We start from the raw sequence: 18,832 nt of genomic DNA, 5'->3' as shown, positions 1-18,832 counted from the left end.
GAGAAAGAGAATGCAAAAATAGCTAAAGCAAATGGGGTAAAATGCTAACAATAGGTAAAAGTAGGTAAAGGGTATATGTTTATCTTATCCCTTTTTCCTCCTTTAATCTAAAAGGGATGTTTCTTGAAACTTATTCTAAGTTTGAGAATATGTCCAAATAAGTTTGGGGTTTTTTTTGGCCAGTCTGATATCACATTACTGAGTGGTGGTCAGACCCTGAGTTCTTTAGCATTTGCTGTTGTTGTTCAGTCAGGGTTTTGCTTTGTCACCCAGGATGAAGTGCAGTGGCATGATCTCAGCTCACTGCAGCCTCTGCCTCCCTGGCTCAAGCGATCCTCCCACCTCAGCCTCCCAAGTTGCTGGGACCGCTGGGACCACAGGGGGTTTTACCATGTTGCCAAGGCTGGTCTCCAACTCCTGAGCTCAAGCAATATGCCCGCCTCGACCTCTAAAAGTGCTGAAATTATGTGTGTGAGCCACCAGGCCTGGCCCAAGACCCTGCGTTCTTGACTGGAGATGGGGAAAAATGCCCTGCGTTGAGCCATGAGAATAACCGTCGTTCAACAGGAGAAGCTCAAGGCAGAGCTGGCTCCCTGTAGTTCAGGGGTTCACCAACCAACATGAAGAGCTACCTGGGTCACAAAGAAAACAGGCTCATGAGTAAACAAATAACAGAGTAATTCCACTGTGAGAAACACCAGGAAAACCAACATCTCCATATGTGTAAGGAAAAGATCTCCAGGCATGGGCCTATAGCCTAATTATTTCAACACAAGTCTACCCAGCAGAAGGATTAACCTGTTCAAGCTCACCTTTCATTTGCGATATATATGTGAAATCTTCTGGAACTAGAAGGCTCATTGGCAGATGGGAAAGGCGAGGAACAAACTGCTGTCTTTGATACAACACACGCTAGGGCTTGAGGAAACTATGGAATGAGTAACAAATTAGTAGACAACTTTTGACAATAAGATTATTATTGTTGCCATAGACTTGAGTCACTACCATGTGCTAGACCCTGAGGATACAGAAAGATAAAAGCAATGATCCCTGTCCTCAAGTAGCTTTGGGGAGCTGGGAGAGAGACACACAAAAGGGATACATTACAGGGCAGCAAATGAAAAGTATACTTTATGGAATACGACAGTCAGGAAAAGCTATTGTGGGTGTGTGGCACCAAGAGAAGTGGTAGGGGTAGGGTTTTCATTCATTCACTCATTTACTCATTCATTTATTCAAGCATTCTTTCAATAAATATTTATTCAACTTTTTTTTTTTTTTTTTGAGACGGAATCTCACTCTGTCACACAGGCTGGAGTGCAGTGTCACAATTTCGGCTCAGTGCAACCTCCACCTTCCAGGTTTAAGTGATTTTCCTGCCTCAGCCTCCCGAGTAGCTGGGATTACAGATATGCACCACCACGCCCAGCTAATTTTTGTATGTTTAGTAGAAACGAGGTTTCACCATGTTGGCCAGGCTGGTCTCAAACTCCTGACCTCATGTGATCTGCCCGCCTCAGCCTCCCAAAGTGCTGGGATTATAGGTGTGAGCTACTGCGTCTGGCCTATTCAGCTTTTTAAACTGCACAGTACTGTGCAAACACTTAAGGAGAACAATTAGATAAAAATGCTGTGGGGAGAAGGAAGATATATGTTCAGCGCTCTTTAATAAGAATGGCTAAAATTTAGCTATTAAATATTTATTAGCTATGAAACCGTATTAGTTTCCTGTGGTGGCTCTAACAAATTACTCCAAAATCGACTACTTAAAACAACAGAAATTTATTGTCTCAGAGTCCTGGAGGCCAGAAGTCTAAATTCAAGGTGTTGGCTGGGCCCTGCTCCCTCCAGAGGCATAGGGGAGAATCCTTTCTTGCCTTTTCCAACTTCCGTTGGCTGGTGGCATTCCTTGGTTTGTGGCTGCCTCACTGCCATCTCTGCCCCAATCTTCACATGGTCTTCTCCTTTGTCCTTTGTAACTCTCTTATGAGGACACTTTTCACTGAATTTAGGGCCCACCTAGATCATCCAGGATGAGTGCTTCATCTCAAGATACTTAATTACATCTGCAAAAGTCTCTTCCCAAATAAGGTAACATTCACAAATTTCAGAAATTAGGACACAGACATATCTTTTTGGAGGCTATCATTCAACCCATTATAAGCCCTTTCCATGTGCCAGGCATTGTCCTAAGCATCTTATATGTATCAACTCATCTGACTCATAACAAGCCAATGAGATAGGTTATGAATTTCATCCCCATTGAGAAAATGAAGACACAGAGCCAGTGGGTAACTTGGAACCATCACTGAGGATAATTGGACTTGAATGGAGAGCTTGTATTGAGCGGTCATGAGAGATGACTTTGGATAGACAAGTTAAGGTCACATGTGGAATATTTTAAATACCTGAATAAAATATTGTACTTCATTCTTCAGGTAATGGGCAGGTACTGGGAGTTCTTGAGCAAGAGCAGCACGTGAATATTGATGCATGAGAATATTAATTGGAAAGGACTGTGTAAAATAGAAGAAGAAAGGGGGAACAGAAACCTTATTAGGAAATGCTCACATAATTGCTGAGAATGATGATGCAGGCCTGGACCACAGAGGTCTGGCTACAGAAAGAGAAAGGAATACTTCATAGCTTGTCCCTCTTTTCATCCCAATGTGTGGAGGCAGACTCTTTTTTTCCATTAGATTTATCTCTTCCATCTTCCTATGTTGCAAACCAGGGGGCAACTGAGAGATAAGACAATCTCCATTTGCTCCAGTTTAGCAGGCACTGGTTTTTCCATTAAAGGATTGCACTCAAAATTTGGAGACACTTGCATGGACAGCGCCTAGAAACACAATTCCTTATTGTTTTGATTGTGGTTGCTTCTAAGGTAAAGACACTTTGAGGATAATATCTCTCTTGATAATATCAACTCTGACTTTATGATGGAGTAACCCTCAAAGCTAACATAAAGCGTAAGTGAAGTCACTATCAAGTATTCCCAGGGAACGGGCTGTAGAGACAACTACGATGATGTTAGATCTTTGCTCTCTTCCTCCAGAATCAGCAGACAGGCAGAAAGAAGTGTCTCTATTCTCACTTCCTACCTACACTTCTTGGTGACTACTGCTGGTGCTGCTCCTGCCACAAGCTGAATATTAAACATGCTTATTCATTTTTAGTCTTTTAGGCTACCTTTGAGGATTCATTCAGTAACACCTGATGTGAAAGACATTTCCTGTTGAATAATGGAAGGTTTGAGCACGAGAGACCCCCAGCAGTACTCTGGGTCCTTAGTTACTAGTCAGGCTTCAGGAGCCATTAATGCTAGTCAGAGTAACAAAATGTTGTCAAAAACCATAATTATTTTTCTGTAACACAGTATAAGCAAAACCTGAAATGCTTATTTGCACCTGGAATTTGACTGTTTTTTAAAAAGTGCTTTCCCACAAGAATAAGACATTTGATTTCATTTAAAAATTAAATTAAAAAATTTAATATACAAGTTACAAAAATTAGCCGGGGCTGGTGGCGTGAGCCTATAATCCCAGCTACTCAGGAGGCTGAGGCAGGAGAATCGCTTGAACCTGGGAGGCAGAGGTTGCAGTGAGCCGAGATGGCACCACTGCACTCCAGCCTGGGTGACAGAGCGAGACTCAGTTTCAAAAAAAATTAATATAGAAAAGATGTCTGTTCATTTGAAAATAAAATTCAAATGATGACAGATTAATAAAAAATAAAAAGTAAAATTAGGCCAGGTGCGGTGGCTCACGCCTGTAATCCCAGCACTTTGGAAGGCTGAGGCTGGCAGATCACTTGAGGTCACGAATTCAAGACCCACCTGGCCAACATGGTGAAACCCTATCTCTACTCAAAATACAAAAATTAGCCGAGTGTGGTGGCACACGCCTGTAATTCCAGCTACTTGGGAGGCTGAGGCAGGAGAATGGCTTTAACCTAGGAGGTGGAGGTTGTGGTGAGCTGAGATCGCACCACTGCACTCTAGCCTGGGCGATAAAGTGAGACTCCATCTCAAAAAAAAAAAAAAAGTAAAATTAATAAATTCATAAGTGTGGGGATACTTTTAAAAAATATTTTTTATATGAACTCCAGATAATATCCTCTCTCCAGAGTTAAAAAGTATGGGCTTATAATGCCTGGGTACTCAAAATGTGTTCTGGGGGCCATCTACACAGGCATTGCCTAGGAGCTTGTTAGAAATGCAATCTCAGGTCCCACTGCTGGCCTACTGAATCAGAATCTGCATTTTCATGAGTTCCCAGGTGATTTGTGTGCACATTCAAGTACCAGAAGCACTGAACTCACAGACTGAGGGGACAGTATTTTTACTAACACTAGCCCTTTGAAGGATATTCAGGTTGTTAAAGAATTGAAAGTAAAAAATAGATAAAAGTGGGAGGCAGAAAAATTAACTAATTCTTCCTACAGAACTATGTGTGAATGGGACCCAATTTTGGAACACATCACTAGAGAATCAGAACTTGGAGTGACCTGTTAAAGAGGTGTCACTCACAAGTAGGCCACCTCCCCTTGGTCCTTATAGTAATTACAAATAAGAAAATCATAGAAGCAGAAACTTTTAGAACTGAGGTGAACGGTAGAACTTGTAGTAGTTGGTGCACATGAGGTCTCGAGCCTCTGACTGGGTTTGTTCCCCCCAAATTTGGGTATGAAGTTAAAAATAAAAATGTTGGCTGGGCGTGGTGGCTCATGCCTGTAATCCCAGGACTTTGGGAGGCCGAGGCGGGTGGATCACCTGAGGTCAGGAGTTCAAGACCAGCCTGGCCAACATGGTGAAACCCCGTCTGTACTAAAAATATAAAAAATTAGCCTGGCGTGGTGGCGGGTGCCTGTAATCCCAACTACTTGGGAGGCTGAGGCAGGAGAATCTCTTGAACCCAGGAGGCGAAGGTTGCAGACAGCCGAGATGGCACCACTGCGCTCCAGCCTGGGCAACAGAGAGAGGCTCTGCCTCAACAACAACAAGAAAGTTGCAGGTGCAGTTAGGGCCTTGTATTCACAAGCTGTAGGGTCTTGAGCAAATTCCTTAACTTCTTGGGGTGTCAGTCCATAATCTGTATCATCAGGAAGCTCAGGTAAGTGTTCTGAAAACTGTATGGGAACCTGGAATGTTATCATGGCAGATTTCAAGGGTGAGTCCCAGTTTCATCCAATAATTGCATGTTGTGTGAGATAATATCACAACAGAGGGCGGTAGTCTGCTTGAAGTAAAGAAAAAGTGAGCTAATTAACTAAAGAATGTGCCATGATGTTTTCTACACTGTCCAGAGGAAACAGAGCCTCTGTTTCTGGTGTTCTAGTATAGATAGGAGATCATGGAGTTTCACTAAGGACCTGTGGAATGAATGCATGAAATACCAAGTTGGCGGGAGCAGTGACTCACACCTGTAATCCCAGCACTTTGGGAGGCCAAGGCGGGTAGATCTCCTGAGGTCAGGAGTTCAAGACCAGCCCAGCCAACATGGTGAAACCCCTGTCTCCACTGAAAAAAAAAAGAAATACTAAGTTGGGAAAAGTAAATTCATCAACATTCATTCATTCAACAAATATTTACTGAGTACCCTCCATGTGCCAAGCTGGCTAAGGACATAACGGTGAGCAAATGTACACACTGTCCCTGCCCTCACAGAGCTTACAATCCAATCAAATATTTGGTTTAATGTAAAATTGCATCTTTGCTAAATGCCACAAAAGAGCCGGGCAATGAACTGAGAGAGCTTGTTCTAGAACGATCTGACCTGGTCAGGGGAATCAGGGAAGACCTCCTGAGGAAGTGACCCTTGAGCTGAGAGCTGAAGAACGAGCAAGAATTAACGTGGGGACGAAGGGAGGAAAGAGTGTCCCGGGGTGAGAACACTGTGTGCACAGGCCTTCTGGCAGGAGGGAGTGTGTAGATTCATGGTGGTCAGAAAGGCCAGTCCCCTCTTTATCTGGTGGAGCGACATCATGAGGCTGGGGACAGCAGCCAGAGGCAGATCAGATCTGGTCCGGCCGTGTGCACCCAAGTTTGGTTCTCCTTCTCCTAGCACTGGGAGGCCACTGCAAGATCTCAGCCGTGATGGCGTGGGGGTGGTGGAGGATGTGTATTTTGCAAGGACTAGATCTGGATTTCAAAAAGATCACTCTGGCAGTAAAATGGAGTACAACTCAGGAACAGGAGGGCAGAGTGGCTGTTTGGAGAAAGGCAAGATAATTTTACAGTCTAGAAGAGAGCCTGGAAATGCTCCCTTCCACAGAAGTTCCAGCTCCTGCAGCCTAGTTCCGTCCTCATGCAACCTTCCTTCCGTGAGGTTCTGCCTACCAAGAGGGAAGGAGGAAGGACCTGTGCAATGAGCTTTAACCCGAGACAGAGAAAGTGAACAAACTGGAAGTCCAGCTGGCAAATGAGTCCTTTTTGTGTCCATATGAATGAGTTCGCCTAGGTGAAATAATTCAAAAGTGGTTTCTGAATTTGCAAGTTGAGAACTCAGCTCTGGATTCTTGGTGACCCCAAGTACAGGAGGCCTGAAAGGCCCTGTCTGAGAATATGCACTAGGCAGCTCCATCTCCTGTACTCACCTTTTAACTCCAGTTAAGAAGCTATCATGTACACCCCATCACTGAGAAGATGTGGAAAGTGAGGCCCAGAGAGGTTTAGTAACTTCTCCAACATCACACAGTAACTTTTAAGGGCCAGTCCCTGAACTGTCATCCTAAAACTCATTAGGTGTGTGATCCTTTCAAAATGCTCTACTGGCCGGCATGTTTAGGGATGAGTAATGGAGAGAGTCATAAAAACATACTTTTAAATTAAATTCTTTTTTTCAAATTTTCTGTACATTGTGCTTTAATTACCATCTCCAGCCCCAAGAGTAGAAGGGCTAAAGAAAGAATGGGCATTCAGTCTAAAGTCTTAACACTGACTACCTGAGCCTTCAACAATTTCTGGTATTAACATTATATAGCACTGCACCCAAGAAATTCACAGATGCTTTTAATGAGTGTTTCTGTATAGATAGCAGTGCCTTTATTTCTAGATTGAATTTCCAGGCATAACTGGAGAACTTAGACCCAGTTTCCAGCCTCCAAGAAAAATAAGTTCCTTTTGCTGCTAGCCCTCATCTGCTATTCTTTTTTTTTTTTTTTTTTTTTTGAGATGGAGTTTTGCTCTTGTCGCCCAGGCTGGAGTGCAATGGTGCTATCTCAGCTCACTGCAACCTCTGCCTCCCTGGTTCAAGCGATTCTCCTGCCTCAGCCTCCCGAGTAGCTGGTTTTACAGGCATGCACCACCATGCCTGGCTAATTTTTGTATTTTTAGTAGAAATGGGGTTTCACCATGTTGGCCAGGCTGGTCTTGAACTCCTGACCTCAGGTGATCCACAAGTCTAGGCCTCCCAAAGTGCTGGGATTACAGGTGTGAGCCACTGTGCCCGGCCTATTCTTTAAATTAACAAATATAAAAATTCAGTGACTGTTCCCAGCCTCTTACTGTACAGTTTCACTCTCTGCACTGTTCCTGTTTCCCCTTTGCTGCTACGTGGGTTTCCTGCTCTGACCATTTCTTTCATATGGTTTCCCTCACACCTCTGAGACTTTAGTGCTATTTCTGGGCTTTATTGCTGCATTGTCAGTTGTTTATTCTTTGTTCCACTGCCTGTTCCTTTGAGAGCAGCTGAGAAATCAAACCTTGGCCTTCATGTTGTTGGTAGAGATTTCACTTCATATTTGTAATAATTATTCATTTATGTTTTGAGAGATTTCCCCATCAGTTTTAAGATTGAACATTAGAAGTGATTTACTGTCAGCCAAAGTCAAATATAATGTGGTTTTCACAGGGTTTTGTTATTTTATCTTTCCAAGCAAGGTACAGCTTTATACACTCATGATTTTTGATTACCAAAATTCAGAAGTACGTTTGTGTTTAGCAGTTTTTACGAGAATCTTACAAGATCATTTTAAACTTTCATTAAAAGCAAGGAGAGGTCCAGAGGGCTTTGAGATTGCAGTTTGTCTGAAGCCCTTGACTTTCATTCAAATTGGCAGTCTCTTTTCCAAAAAGAGCATTATTCTCTCATCTTTAAAGTATGCTGGGTTTAGTCAGTTTGGATACTAAGCAAGTTATCAGGAGATTTCTCAAACATTAAGAAGAGAAAGCCAAGCCGTCTTACTCAACCCAGGGCCACAGCCTCCAGGGGTGTTGGTGAATAACAGTATAGTGTCCCTTCATTTTAATCTATTCCTGCCTGTGTTGACACTCTACTAGGACAACCAGATGAAAAGGGAAAAAGCTCGAGTTGAGGTACCAAAGTCTTTTGCCTACACAATGTTAGAGGGAAACAAAGTCTGACTGAAGTGTTCTGCTGTGTGGTAAATATTACTCTCTCCAGAGAACATGATTATAACTTCTCTAGAACCTGGAAAATGTACTCCCTGCCCCCTCTGCCCCGCCCCCAACCACCCACCAGGAGGGAATAAAGCACATTGTCTGGGAAATGGCTGAAATGCAGGCACAAAGTAGGTTTTCAGAAGCGGCTATGAGTTGAACCTGTTTTTATATGGGTCTAAAAATCTCCCAATTTAGTCTGTTTAGTTATTGAAGGATTGCTATTGTGTTTGCAAGCATCACTGACTTTTACATCTTCTTATTGGTTCTTCTTTGGGTATCAAATCTTCGCATTTGGAGGAATGTATTTTTTAAATAAAGCGAGGCACAGCAGCCCTTAGTAGAAAGCAAAATGGTCTTCAAACTGCCTCTAGGCCATTTCCATGAGGATATCTTGACCCATAAGTGGCTTCCGAATTTCTGTATATGAGGGGCTAGTTGATAGGATGTTTGAAGCTGTGTTTACAGATGATCAGAAAACTGTCACTCATCCATATCAAAGGAGAGGAAGTTATGGAAGTCCTAAACCCATTAATCCACCCTTTAGCACTGCCCAAACCCAGACTTCACTTCAAATTAAGCACATTAAAAATGGAGTTCATATTTTCTCCTAAAAATCAGCTTCTTGGCCTCCCTTCCCAACTTCCTCACCTGTTTAAGGCAGTATTTTCCTTGTCAGGTTAGAAACATTATAACTATCTTTGTTCTCCTACCTAGCTTCCTCCTTCCCAATACCCAATTAATCATCAAATTCTATCATTTTTTCCTTAATAATGTCTTGAAAATTTTCCTCCATTCTTTATATTCCAGCAAAACAGAAACAGAAGGTGAGGATCCAGCTCTCCAGTCTGGATGGGGAGACTAGAAACACACTACATACAAGTGAAAAAAATTTCATAGGAATTACAAGAATACCAAAACAATGCAAAATAACAGCTCCAAACAAGCCTTGTATACACATCTCCAGGCAATAGCTGGCACTGCATTTGTCCAGTAGTAATCTAGGGCAGTGGGTGGGGAGGTCCTTCTGCTGCGCAGGGGCTGTGGTGAGGCCTTTCAGGTCCAGCTTAAGCCACTCTGATTCCAGCCACCACCCCACCTTAGATGGGCAAGCTGTTCCTTTCCAGATCAACTCATCTCCACCCACAACACAGTGCTTATGTATTCAGTCTAAAATAGCACAATTTATCAAGAGTATTCCATCGTAATTTTAAAATGTCGTGTTTATATTTTACCTCCACCTGGACAGAAACTCGTTCCTTTGTATTCTTACTGCCCCTCCACCTCCCCATAGCAACCAGCACAAGATTCCACCGTGTGTAGTCTATAAATAAATGTTAAATCATAGAGCCTTAGAATTTTGGAGTCAGACGGGGATCTTCAGAGTTGCATTTGTCCAGTCCTTTATAGATGGGGAAACAGGTCTAGAGAGATTAGGTGACTTGCTCAAAGCCACACAGCTGGCTATTGACAAGGCAAGGAGCAGAGCCCAGGTTTCTCCTGCCTGAAGTCTGTACCCTGAACTGTCCTTAGATAATCAGTGACAGACACCTGAGTTCACACAAGGTCTCCAGGGGTTGATGGTGATAGGAGAAACTGGCTTTCCCAAAACATGTACAAAGATTCGGTCCACGCCCCTAGCAGACCTTCGGGAGGACTAACTCCTCAGCTCGGCGTCCAGCAGAGTCCCAAGTTACAGTCGCACTTGTTTATGCGTCTGTCGGCCTCCTCCGACAGGACCGAGTACTCGAGGGCCCCGCGCTCAGGGGCTCCCCTCCGGCCCCTCCCCCGCCGCCGAGCTGTCACACAGCCGCCGCGCGGCCCGCCCCCACGTGGACTGGGCTCGGAGGATCAAAGTCTGTTTGCAGACTTTGCAGCCCGGCCCCCGCAGGTGTGCTGGGAGTTGCGATGGTCCGCAGGCCAGGACTCCGCCACACCCGAGGGGACCCGGCCAGCCCCTCCCCCTCCCGCTGCACGCGGCCCGCGCCCCCAATTCGCCCGCCGCTGCACCCGGCCACGGCCCCCCGGCCCACGCCCGGCTCCGGGAGGAAAAGGCCCCGCCCCTATCTGTTGGAGCCGCGACCCCGCCCCCTTCCCGCCCCTCCGAGGCTCCATCCAATAGTGAGCGTGGCTGGGCGGGACGCCGAGGCTGTCGTGAGGGGGTCCTGACCAATGGGGAAGCGTGCCGGGCCTGGTGGGCGGGGCGGCAAGGCCTTGTCACGCTCGGGTCCGTGTGAAAACGGGGGTTCCGAGTGCAAAGCAAAGTTTTTTTGTAAACCGTCTGCAAAGGCGGGGGGGCGAAGAAGGCGCCCGAGACCGGGCCGAGTGCAGCTGCCGTGGCCGCCGCCTCTCTAGCTCCTCAGCCATCCGCTCCTCAGTCCAGCCGCCGCAGAGGAGACCAGCAAGCAGAGCCCTCAGATGCTCGGAGCTTTCTCGGCGCGAAGCTGCCCGTCGCCCTCTCCTGCCGCCCTCGCCCGCCGCCCTCCTGCTCCTGCTCCGGCTGCGGCTCTTGGTACCCCGGCTCCGGGAGCCCAGCTCCCCGCCACCGCCGCCGCCTGGGTGTGGGGGCTGCTGAGGCTGAGCCGGGCCTCGGCGCCGGCTCTGAGGACGGACGCCTGAGGAGCTGCGCGGCGCGGCGCCGCCGGCTGGCGGAGAACGCCCACAGGCGCGGGGCTCGGCGGCTTGACCCGGGCTTGTCCCCGTGCGGCCGCGGGGGCCCCTCAGCGGTTTCCCGAACGGCCCGACTCGGGCGCTCCTCCGTGTCGCGGTCGCCGACCCTCCGCGTCCCGCCAACGCCGCCGCTGCACCAGTCTCCGGGCCGGGCTCGGCGGGCCCCGCAGCCGCAGCCATGGGGTGTTGGGGTCGGAACCGGGGCCGGCTGCTGTGCATGCTGGCGCTGACCTTCATGTTCATGGTGCTGGAGGTGGTGGTGAGCCGGGTGACCTCGTCGCTGGCGATGCTCTCCGACTCCTTCCACATGCTGTCGGACGTGCTGGCGCTGGTGGTGGCGCTGGTGGCCGAGCGCTTCGCCCGGCGGACCCACGCCACCCAGAAGAACACGTTCGGCTGGATCCGAGCCGAGGTAATGGGGGCTCTGGTGAACGCCATCTTCCTGACTGGCCTCTGTTTCGCCATCCTGCTGGAGGCCATCGAGCGCTTCATCGAGCCGCACGAGATGCAGCAGCCGCTGGTGGTCCTTGGGGTCGGCGTGGCCGGGCTGCTGGTCAACGTGCTGGGGCTCTGCCTCTTCCACCATCACAGCGGCTTCAGCCAGGACTCCGGCCACGGCCACTCGCACGGGGGTCACGGCCACGGCCACGGCCTCCCCAAGGGGCCTCGCGTTAAGAGCACCCGCCCCGGGAGCAGCGACATCAACGTGGCCCCGGGCGAGCAGGGTCCCGACCAGGAGGAGACCAACACCCTGGTGGCCAATACCAGCAACTCCAACGGGCTGAAATTGGACCCCGCAGGTGAGCCGGGAAAGTCGCTGCCGCAGGTGGTTGGGTTTGGGGTGCCCAGAGCCTCGCCTGGCCTTCGGCGGGGTGGCCCGCACGCCCCCTGCTGCCCGAGCGGGCCTGCGCCGCGCCGCCCCTGCCTGCTCCCTCCCCGTCCTGCACACGCCCCGCTGCTGCTCCAGGAAATCAGAACCCCCTCAGTCGGGTGCAAGGAGCCGGCGACGCGTCTGGCATATTTGTAGGTGGGGGCTGTGGGTCAGACCCTAAGAAAAAGGGTCAGGAGGTGATCATCATCCCGCTGCAGTCCACACCCGCACTTGGCTGTCTTTACAGGCTGCAGCAACTTTGCTGGAGACTTGTCTGGTTATGGTTATAACAGCGTCAGAAATGCTTCCCAATTCAATTCCTTGGCCCTCTTGGGAAACGGAGAGAATCCCCAATTCGTCCCCAGTAGTTGGGTGCTGGAAACCTTGCTCTGCCAAAGTAGTTCTTATGCCCATTGAACTCCGTTTCATAATATGCATTCAGAGCGTGTAAACCCTGGTTAAAGGTTTCTTTTATGAACAGCAGTGTATGCTTCAGCTAATTGATCCCTAATCCTGGAAATCATAGATTTAGGACCTGTCTGGGCATGTTTAACATTTTCCCAGGACTTTTCATAATCGTACTGAACTAAAAGTGATGGTAATTTATTCATCTTATATTTTTAGTGGATGCTTTTTATATTTAACATTAAGTGCTCTTGAAGGAAATTTGAAAATAAATGTTGAAAGAAAGGAGATGGAAATGACTCAACCAGTGTCCTACTACCCAAGCTCAATGGTGCTTAACAATTTGGTCTTATTTCCTTCACTTACGTTTATTTACCTTGTATCATTATAAATTATGCTACATAATTTTCCTTTTCGAGTGCAGAATATGAAGTTAGTGAAATTCAAGTTGTACATTGGAAAGGTTTAATAAGTAATTGGTTTTCCTCTCACTCCACTCGGCAAGGTGTTATTCCAAAGAAAATTAAGTTTCTCTGGTGTGTAATTTCAAAAGATCAATACTTTTTATCTTTTTGAATACTTTTGATCAATACTTTTTGAAAAGATCAATACTTTTGATTTAAAAGTTAGTAGGGCAGGTAGTCATTTAGTTTCAATTTTTCTAATAATCTCTGTGATTATTGATTTTTATTGTTGATTTGTCAGTTTTTAAACCCCCCTACCAAGAAACTTTTATATTCATAATAAAAGTTTAAAAGTTAAAATTGGTTTTATTCTCAAGCAATTGGCCTCAGTGACAAAGAGTGACTAGAGAGTGCCCGAGTGTCAAATCAGGTATTTTGTATTAGTAGACTTATTCCTAGCTGCATTTAATTTTGGTGTTAGCATTCAATTTTATGTTTTCCTTTGTATATACCATAAAGTATAGCAGAATGGTTGCAGGACTCCACCCCCATAGAAAATATACACTATTTTGGAGAGGAGGAGGCAGGAGAGTGGTTAGGAGGGTGAAGAAGCAGTATCACAATGACTTAATTTAGCCCTGGCTATTATGTCCTGGCTCATTCCCAGAATGTCAATTTATATTAAATTGCTCTGAGCACATTTTTTTAATTGTACTTTCTGAAAAAATTTTCACCTTCATCACCACTTAAAAAGAATTAGACAAGGATGTTTATATAAACACTTTAAATGTATTTGATATAAAATTTTTATTTCTTTGTAGACCCAGAAAACCCCAGAAGTGGTGATACAGTGGAAGTACAAGTGAATGGAAATCTTGTCAGAGAACCTGACCATATGGAACTGGAAGAAGATAGGGCTGGACAACTTAACATGCGTGGAGTTTTTCTGCATGTCCTTGGAGATGCCTTGGGTTCAGTGATTGTAGTAGTAAATGCCTTAGTCTTTTACTTTTCTTGGAAAGGTTGTTCTGAAGGGGATTTTTGTGTGAATCCATGTTTCCCTGACCCCTGCAAAGCATTTGTAGAAATAATTAATAGTACTCATGCATCAGTTTATGAGGCTGGTCCTTGCTGGGTGCTATATTTAGATCCAACTCTTTGTGTTGTAATGGTTTGTATACTTCTTTACACAACCTATCCATTACTTAAGGAATCTGCTCTTATTCTTCTACAAACTGTTCCTAAACAAATTGATATCAGAAATTTGATAAAAGAACTTCGAAATGTTGAAGGAGTTGAGGAAGTTCATGAATTACATGTTTGGCAACTTGCTGGAAGCAGAATCATTGCCACTGCTCACATAAAATGTGAAGATCCAACATCATACATGGAGGTGGCTAAAACCATTAAAGACGTTTTTCATAATCACGGAATTCACGCTACTACCATTCAGCCTGAATTTGCTAGTGTAGGCTCTAAATCAAGTGTAGTTCCGTGTGAACTTGCCTGCAGAACCCAGTGTGCTTTGAAGCAATGTTGTGGGACACTACCACAAGCCCCTTCTGGAAAGGATGCAGAAAAGACCCCAGCAGTTAGCATTTCTTGTTTAGAACTTAGTAACAATCTAGAGAAGAAGCCCAGGAGGACTAAAGCTGAAAACATCCCTGCTGTTGTGATAGAGATTAAAAACATGCCAAACAAACAACCTGAATCATCTTTGTGAGTCTTGAAAAAGATGTGATATTTGACTTTTGCTTTAAACTGCAAGAGGAAAAAGACTCCACTGAAATTCTAAGTTTGCCAAGTAGTGTAATTGAAGTCCTTGTCTGGTCACACAGTTTAATTCTATTTTTGTAAGAACATAATGGGACTGCATAACAGAGTTCTATATTACAATTTTGTGATTATTAGTACAGAGTACAGCTATGCTGTGACTGTTTTGGAAAGCCAGTTTTAACACTATGTTACATTTTTGTTTAAAGTAAGTTAAACCTTATATAACATAATGACATTTGATTTCTGGATTTTTCCCATGATAAAAATTAGGGGGATAAATAAAATTGTTACTGGAATTTCTCTGCTTTTCTTTTCCCCCAGTGTTATACTTTATTAGAATTATAATTGATAGAACTTTAAAATCATCAACAGTTTGTTTCCTTTGACATTTTAGGTGATATTGCCCTTTGAGATCATTACATAGCATAATGGCAGCATATTTTAAGAGTGACTCATGGCTATTAGTAGGAAATAAGATCAGTTACTATCCTGTATTCTGTATTGCTGGCTATTAAACAGTAAGATAATTAACAAATTGAACTACAGTTTACACACAATGGGGCAAATGGGGTAGTAAGAGCAAGGAAGAAAGTTTACCAAACTAAATATTTAGGTTATTGTATGATAATATTGAGACTACATTTCTAAATTATTTTGAGAATTTCAACTTTTTATTCTACCAAAGTTAATCTGAAACTTGGACATGTTCACCAGCATTACTTTCTTTGAAAGATTGGTATAAAAACATTGAGCTGCAAGTTTATTTACAAAATATATAAGTATTTTTAAGGATGTTGACACCTAATAATTACATGCTAAACGCAAACGATTAATGTAATCTTTTAAACCGGGCGTTTGAAAAAAAATTTTCAAGGTCATTTCATGATAACCAATCATGAATGGATTTAAATGGAGCTTTTTGAGCACAACCAGCAATGTTTGTGCTTTCTAAGAGTCACTGACTTGAGAGGAAAGAAAACCAGAAGGTTAATGCAGTTTGGATATTAAATTCTTAGCAAAATTAATAATTAAAGCAAAATTAATTAAGATTTTGTAAGTCATCCTGTCTTCACATACTCAGATCTTCCAATAGTGGCTTATTTTGCAAGATGCCACAATATCTACACAGAAAATTGTGGCTATTTCATTATTGCTATAGATTTCAAATCCAACACAAATATTTAAGGGTGTTTAAGTTATATTTTTCTTGATAGAGGGTATGCTTTGTGACAAAATTAGATTTTTGTCCTTGAAAGGATTAATATTAGCATCAGTTATGTATAGCTCTATTTTTCTAGAAACAAGGTATTCTGACTACTTTTATAGCTGACTACTTTTGGGATGGCTACGTTTTGGGATTTAAAATAGTTCATTGTTTAATGGGTTGTAAGAGGAAAAAGTGTTAGGATTTGACAGTTACTTTTTAAAGGGATGATCTTTTGTGGTGTGTGTTTTTCCTAGTATAAGCCTATTGCTGGCGATGGGCCTATTTAAGAACAGCTGATTTTTTCCAGTGAAAATATGGTAATTTTAGGAACACAGTTTGTAAGTTCACATTTACTATAATGGGCCAAAACCATAACCTGCCAGTTTGCAATACATCTTGATCTTTTAATATTCTTATCTGATATTGTGTAATTCAATTCCTAAACTGATAGTTACCTTGAATTTTGCGAAAAGGTTTGGGTGGTTTTTTTTAAACATGAAATTGAGGGATCTCATCTGGGCGAACAAGAAGAGAAAGCTGTGAATTGTACTGTATCATGTACATTCCTGATTTAATACTTTACAGAACATTTTATTCAGATATCAATTTGTTACATAAACATTTCAGCAATGATACAAAGATAACTGATAAAATATATTACATTCAATGAGGTTTTCTTTACAAATGCTCTACTTGAGGTCTGTGTCTTAAAGATGGCATGACACCTAAGTACAAGACATCAACTGAATGAGGATTTTAAAAAATGGTATATAAGCATAGGACAAGGGCTATGTTTGTTTGTTTTTCAAAAGTGCTTTGAAGATAACAGCCTTTAGGTTTGAGTTATTTCACTTTTCATAATTTTTAAGTAGCTTATATATAATGGTGGTACCATAGGATTTTCTTTTTTCAAATGACTGTCGGCAGAAACAGTGGGCACTGACTCACCTTTTGAGTTTTAGCAGAGAATTATTTATTTCTTTACAATGCACTTTCTAACCCATTGTAGCTATATTAGCATTATCTTTTAAAAAAGACATGCTTTTGTATTTAAATATTGTAGGATTTAAGTGTCTTTCTCAAAATAGCTTATTCCTTTCTGAAAGAAAATGAGGGAAATACTCTGAATTATTAGGAGACTTAAACCCAATATTTAAATATGCTATTTTATAACACTGCATCAGTTTTAGGAGTTGCATCTCTCCTGCTGGCTCTTTTATATTTGAGCAAGATCAGTGTAGAATATGTGTTTAGAAACTTGTCTGTTGTCTCAGTTTAGTGAAAAGGAGGTGCTGCATGTGCCTGAATTAAAACCAAGAAATTTTTCCAAGCCAAATGCAGCCTTAGTGATGAGAGATTTAATTCTCCATTGTCACCTTTTAGCTTTTATGATTGCTTAGTTTTTTCTGAAGGATGTCTGCATTGTAAAACTATGGACTAAAACCTAAAAAACAGAATCCTCAAAAACTTTGCTGTATGTGTTTTAACATTTTAGAGAACAGTATGTTGAATAACTAAGGTATGTAACTTGAATAGGAAAAATGTCCATCAAATGCACCTTGGAAAATCACAGTAGGTAGAAGGCTGTGTTAACCGTTTGTGTCTTATTAACATCCTTAAGTTAATTTTGAATTTTTGACAGTTTTGAGGGAAAAGACCTATGGAACCTAATGTGAAGTATTTCGTATGTTAACTGGTGTTGAGTTGAAGATTTTTACTGTGTATAAGCAGATATCATTTGAATGATAAAAATGTCATTAACCTGCTGTCTTAAGATGTTCACACAAATATGGAGAGTAATTCTACAATATAAAAATATTTATTTTAATACTGAGTTTCAGTTAAGTCATAAACAGTGTTAAAACTCTTGGGAAGGTGTAGGGGTTTTTTGTTTGTCATTTTTAAAATTGAAACTGTGTCATACAGTGTTTCACGTCTCTGAAATTGGGATTATAATAGCACTATTTTGATGTAGCTCTACCGATACTATGTGGTAATGCTATTTTGTTTTACTAACAAGCTCTGGAATATTTAGCAGTCATTTTCACTGGCACAAGAGCCTTTTGTATGTTATTCAATTTAAACTTTTAAACCAAAAATTTTATGGTCCAGTGTCTTTGGCAAAAAGATGCTGGAGGGAATGTAACATACAATTAATATGTGGTTATATATATATATAAAAAGACACAAATTGCCATGTTATGGTTCTGCCTTGAAACAGCACAATGAAGTGTATCAGTATATTCTGTGATTATGAAACTTATATGTTGTGTTGTTTTGTGTCTTCTGTTGCCTGTCCTTTGGGCCAGATGTGGGCCAGTTAAATGCAGTTATCATCTCATTAAATACAGATGCAGATAAAATATCTTTAGTGCTGCAACATTTTACCTAACTTTTTGTATGTTTTCATGACTGTGTGTTATTTTCCAAAGCTGTTCCTACCTCACCATGAGGCTTTATGGATTGTTATGTATTATAAATGTTCTATATGAGACAGACTACTGTGTTTCTTCTCATTTATTAAAAGTTAAGTAGAAAAATAAACTAATTTTAATATCTACTTCATTTGTGCATATGGCCTCCCCTCCGATACTAGGCTTAGTTACACAGAGAGTTGGATTTCAGATAATTGAAAGAGAAATTTCAGTTTAACACAAATGTTGCAAGTGTACAGAGTGACTAGGTTACAAGATGGGTGTGGAAGAAAATGTAAGCAAAAATTGCAATTAAAAATTGAAAGGGTAACACTGCAAAGGCTCACTAATATGAAATACTCAGTGGCTTTGAATTTTATTATAAGCATTAAGCTTATAGATTATATAGTTGTGGTTAACCTGCTGCTTTTGGCACTTGCTATTTTTTTATTTATAAGCATAGTTACTAATAAGGTTTATTAAATATTTTACACCTGTAAATCATCTAAAATTCTTAACGCAATAGTATATTATTGTGGTTCTATGAGCCTCAGGACTATCACAAATGTAGTTTCATAAAAAAATTCATTAAAGAACTTGTATTTTGGGCTGTGAGACAACAGTTGAAAAAATCAACTGACAATAAATGGCAGTAGATAAAGGAATTGATCTATATACAGTAGA

The 18,832-nt window shown here is 42.7% G+C and overlaps 1 protein-coding gene across 1 annotated transcript, besides 7 other annotated features; it reads left to right on the top strand.

Moving 5' to 3' along the window:
• Positions 10,112-10,671: a silencer, noted in NCBI's record as "silent region_1790". NCBI's record gives its function as "represses an Ori minimal core promoter by ATAC-STARR-seq in GM12878 lymphoblastoid cells {active_cell/tissue: GM12878}" and the evidence as "EXISTENCE:reporter gene assay evidence [ECO:0000049][PMID:35858748]".
• Positions 10,112-11,611: a biological region, named in NCBI's record as "H3K27ac hESC enhancers GRCh37_chr1:211751675-211752176 and GRCh37_chr1:211752177-211752676".
• Positions 10,528-11,027: an enhancer, noted in NCBI's record as "H3K27ac hESC enhancer chr1:211752177-211752676 (GRCh37/hg19 assembly coordinates)". NCBI's record gives its function as "activates a minimal SCP1, AML or CMV promoter by ChIP-STARR-seq in primed H9 embryonic stem cells {active_cell/tissue: H9 hESC(primed)}" and the evidence as "EXISTENCE:reporter gene assay evidence [ECO:0000049][PMID:30033119]".
• On the top strand, positions 10,701-18,294 carry SLC30A1 (solute carrier family 30 member 1). Its single transcript, NM_021194.3, has 2 exons — positions 10,701-11,871; positions 13,573-18,294. The coding sequence occupies exons 1-2, from the start codon at positions 11,250-11,252 to the stop codon at positions 14,472-14,474; spliced, it is 1,524 nt and encodes a 507-aa protein (NP_067017.2). The 5' UTR covers positions 10,701-11,249; the 3' UTR covers positions 14,475-18,294.
• Positions 10,912-11,221: a silencer, noted in NCBI's record as "silent region_1789". NCBI's record gives its function as "represses an Ori minimal core promoter by ATAC-STARR-seq in GM12878 lymphoblastoid cells {active_cell/tissue: GM12878}" and the evidence as "EXISTENCE:reporter gene assay evidence [ECO:0000049][PMID:35858748]".
• Positions 11,028-11,529: an enhancer, noted in NCBI's record as "H3K27ac hESC enhancer chr1:211751675-211752176 (GRCh37/hg19 assembly coordinates)". NCBI's record gives its function as "activates a minimal SCP1, AML or CMV promoter by ChIP-STARR-seq in naive H9 embryonic stem cells {active_cell/tissue: H9 hESC(naive)}" and the evidence as "EXISTENCE:reporter gene assay evidence [ECO:0000049][PMID:30033119]".
• Positions 11,502-11,611: an enhancer, noted in NCBI's record as "active region_2488". NCBI's record gives its function as "activates an Ori minimal core promoter by ATAC-STARR-seq in GM12878 lymphoblastoid cells {active_cell/tissue: GM12878}" and the evidence as "EXISTENCE:reporter gene assay evidence [ECO:0000049][PMID:35858748]".
• Positions 11,722-12,071: a silencer, noted in NCBI's record as "silent region_1788". NCBI's record gives its function as "represses an Ori minimal core promoter by ATAC-STARR-seq in GM12878 lymphoblastoid cells {active_cell/tissue: GM12878}" and the evidence as "EXISTENCE:reporter gene assay evidence [ECO:0000049][PMID:35858748]".
• Positions 18,295-18,832: the final 538 nt, after the last annotated feature.

The sequence above is a fragment of the Homo sapiens genome, chromosome 1, assembly GCF_000001405.40.
Source record: "Homo sapiens chromosome 1, GRCh38.p14 Primary Assembly".
NCBI classification, from domain to species: domain Eukaryota; kingdom Metazoa; phylum Chordata; class Mammalia; order Primates; family Hominidae; genus Homo; species Homo sapiens.
Note: the sequence above shows the minus strand (reverse complement) of the source record. Positions and strands in the feature narration are given on the sequence as shown.

Excerpts from the sequence above, each read along its gene's own strand:
- SLC30A1 (NM_021194.3), top strand. The coding sequence starts at position 11,250 with ATGGGGTGTTGGGGTCGGAACCGGGGCCGGCTGCTGTGCATGCTGGCG. Across the intron at positions 11,872-13,572 it reads GCTGAAATTGGACCCCGCAG|ACCCAGAAAACCCCAGAAGT; the intron begins GTGAGCCGGGAA and ends ATTTCTTTGTAG.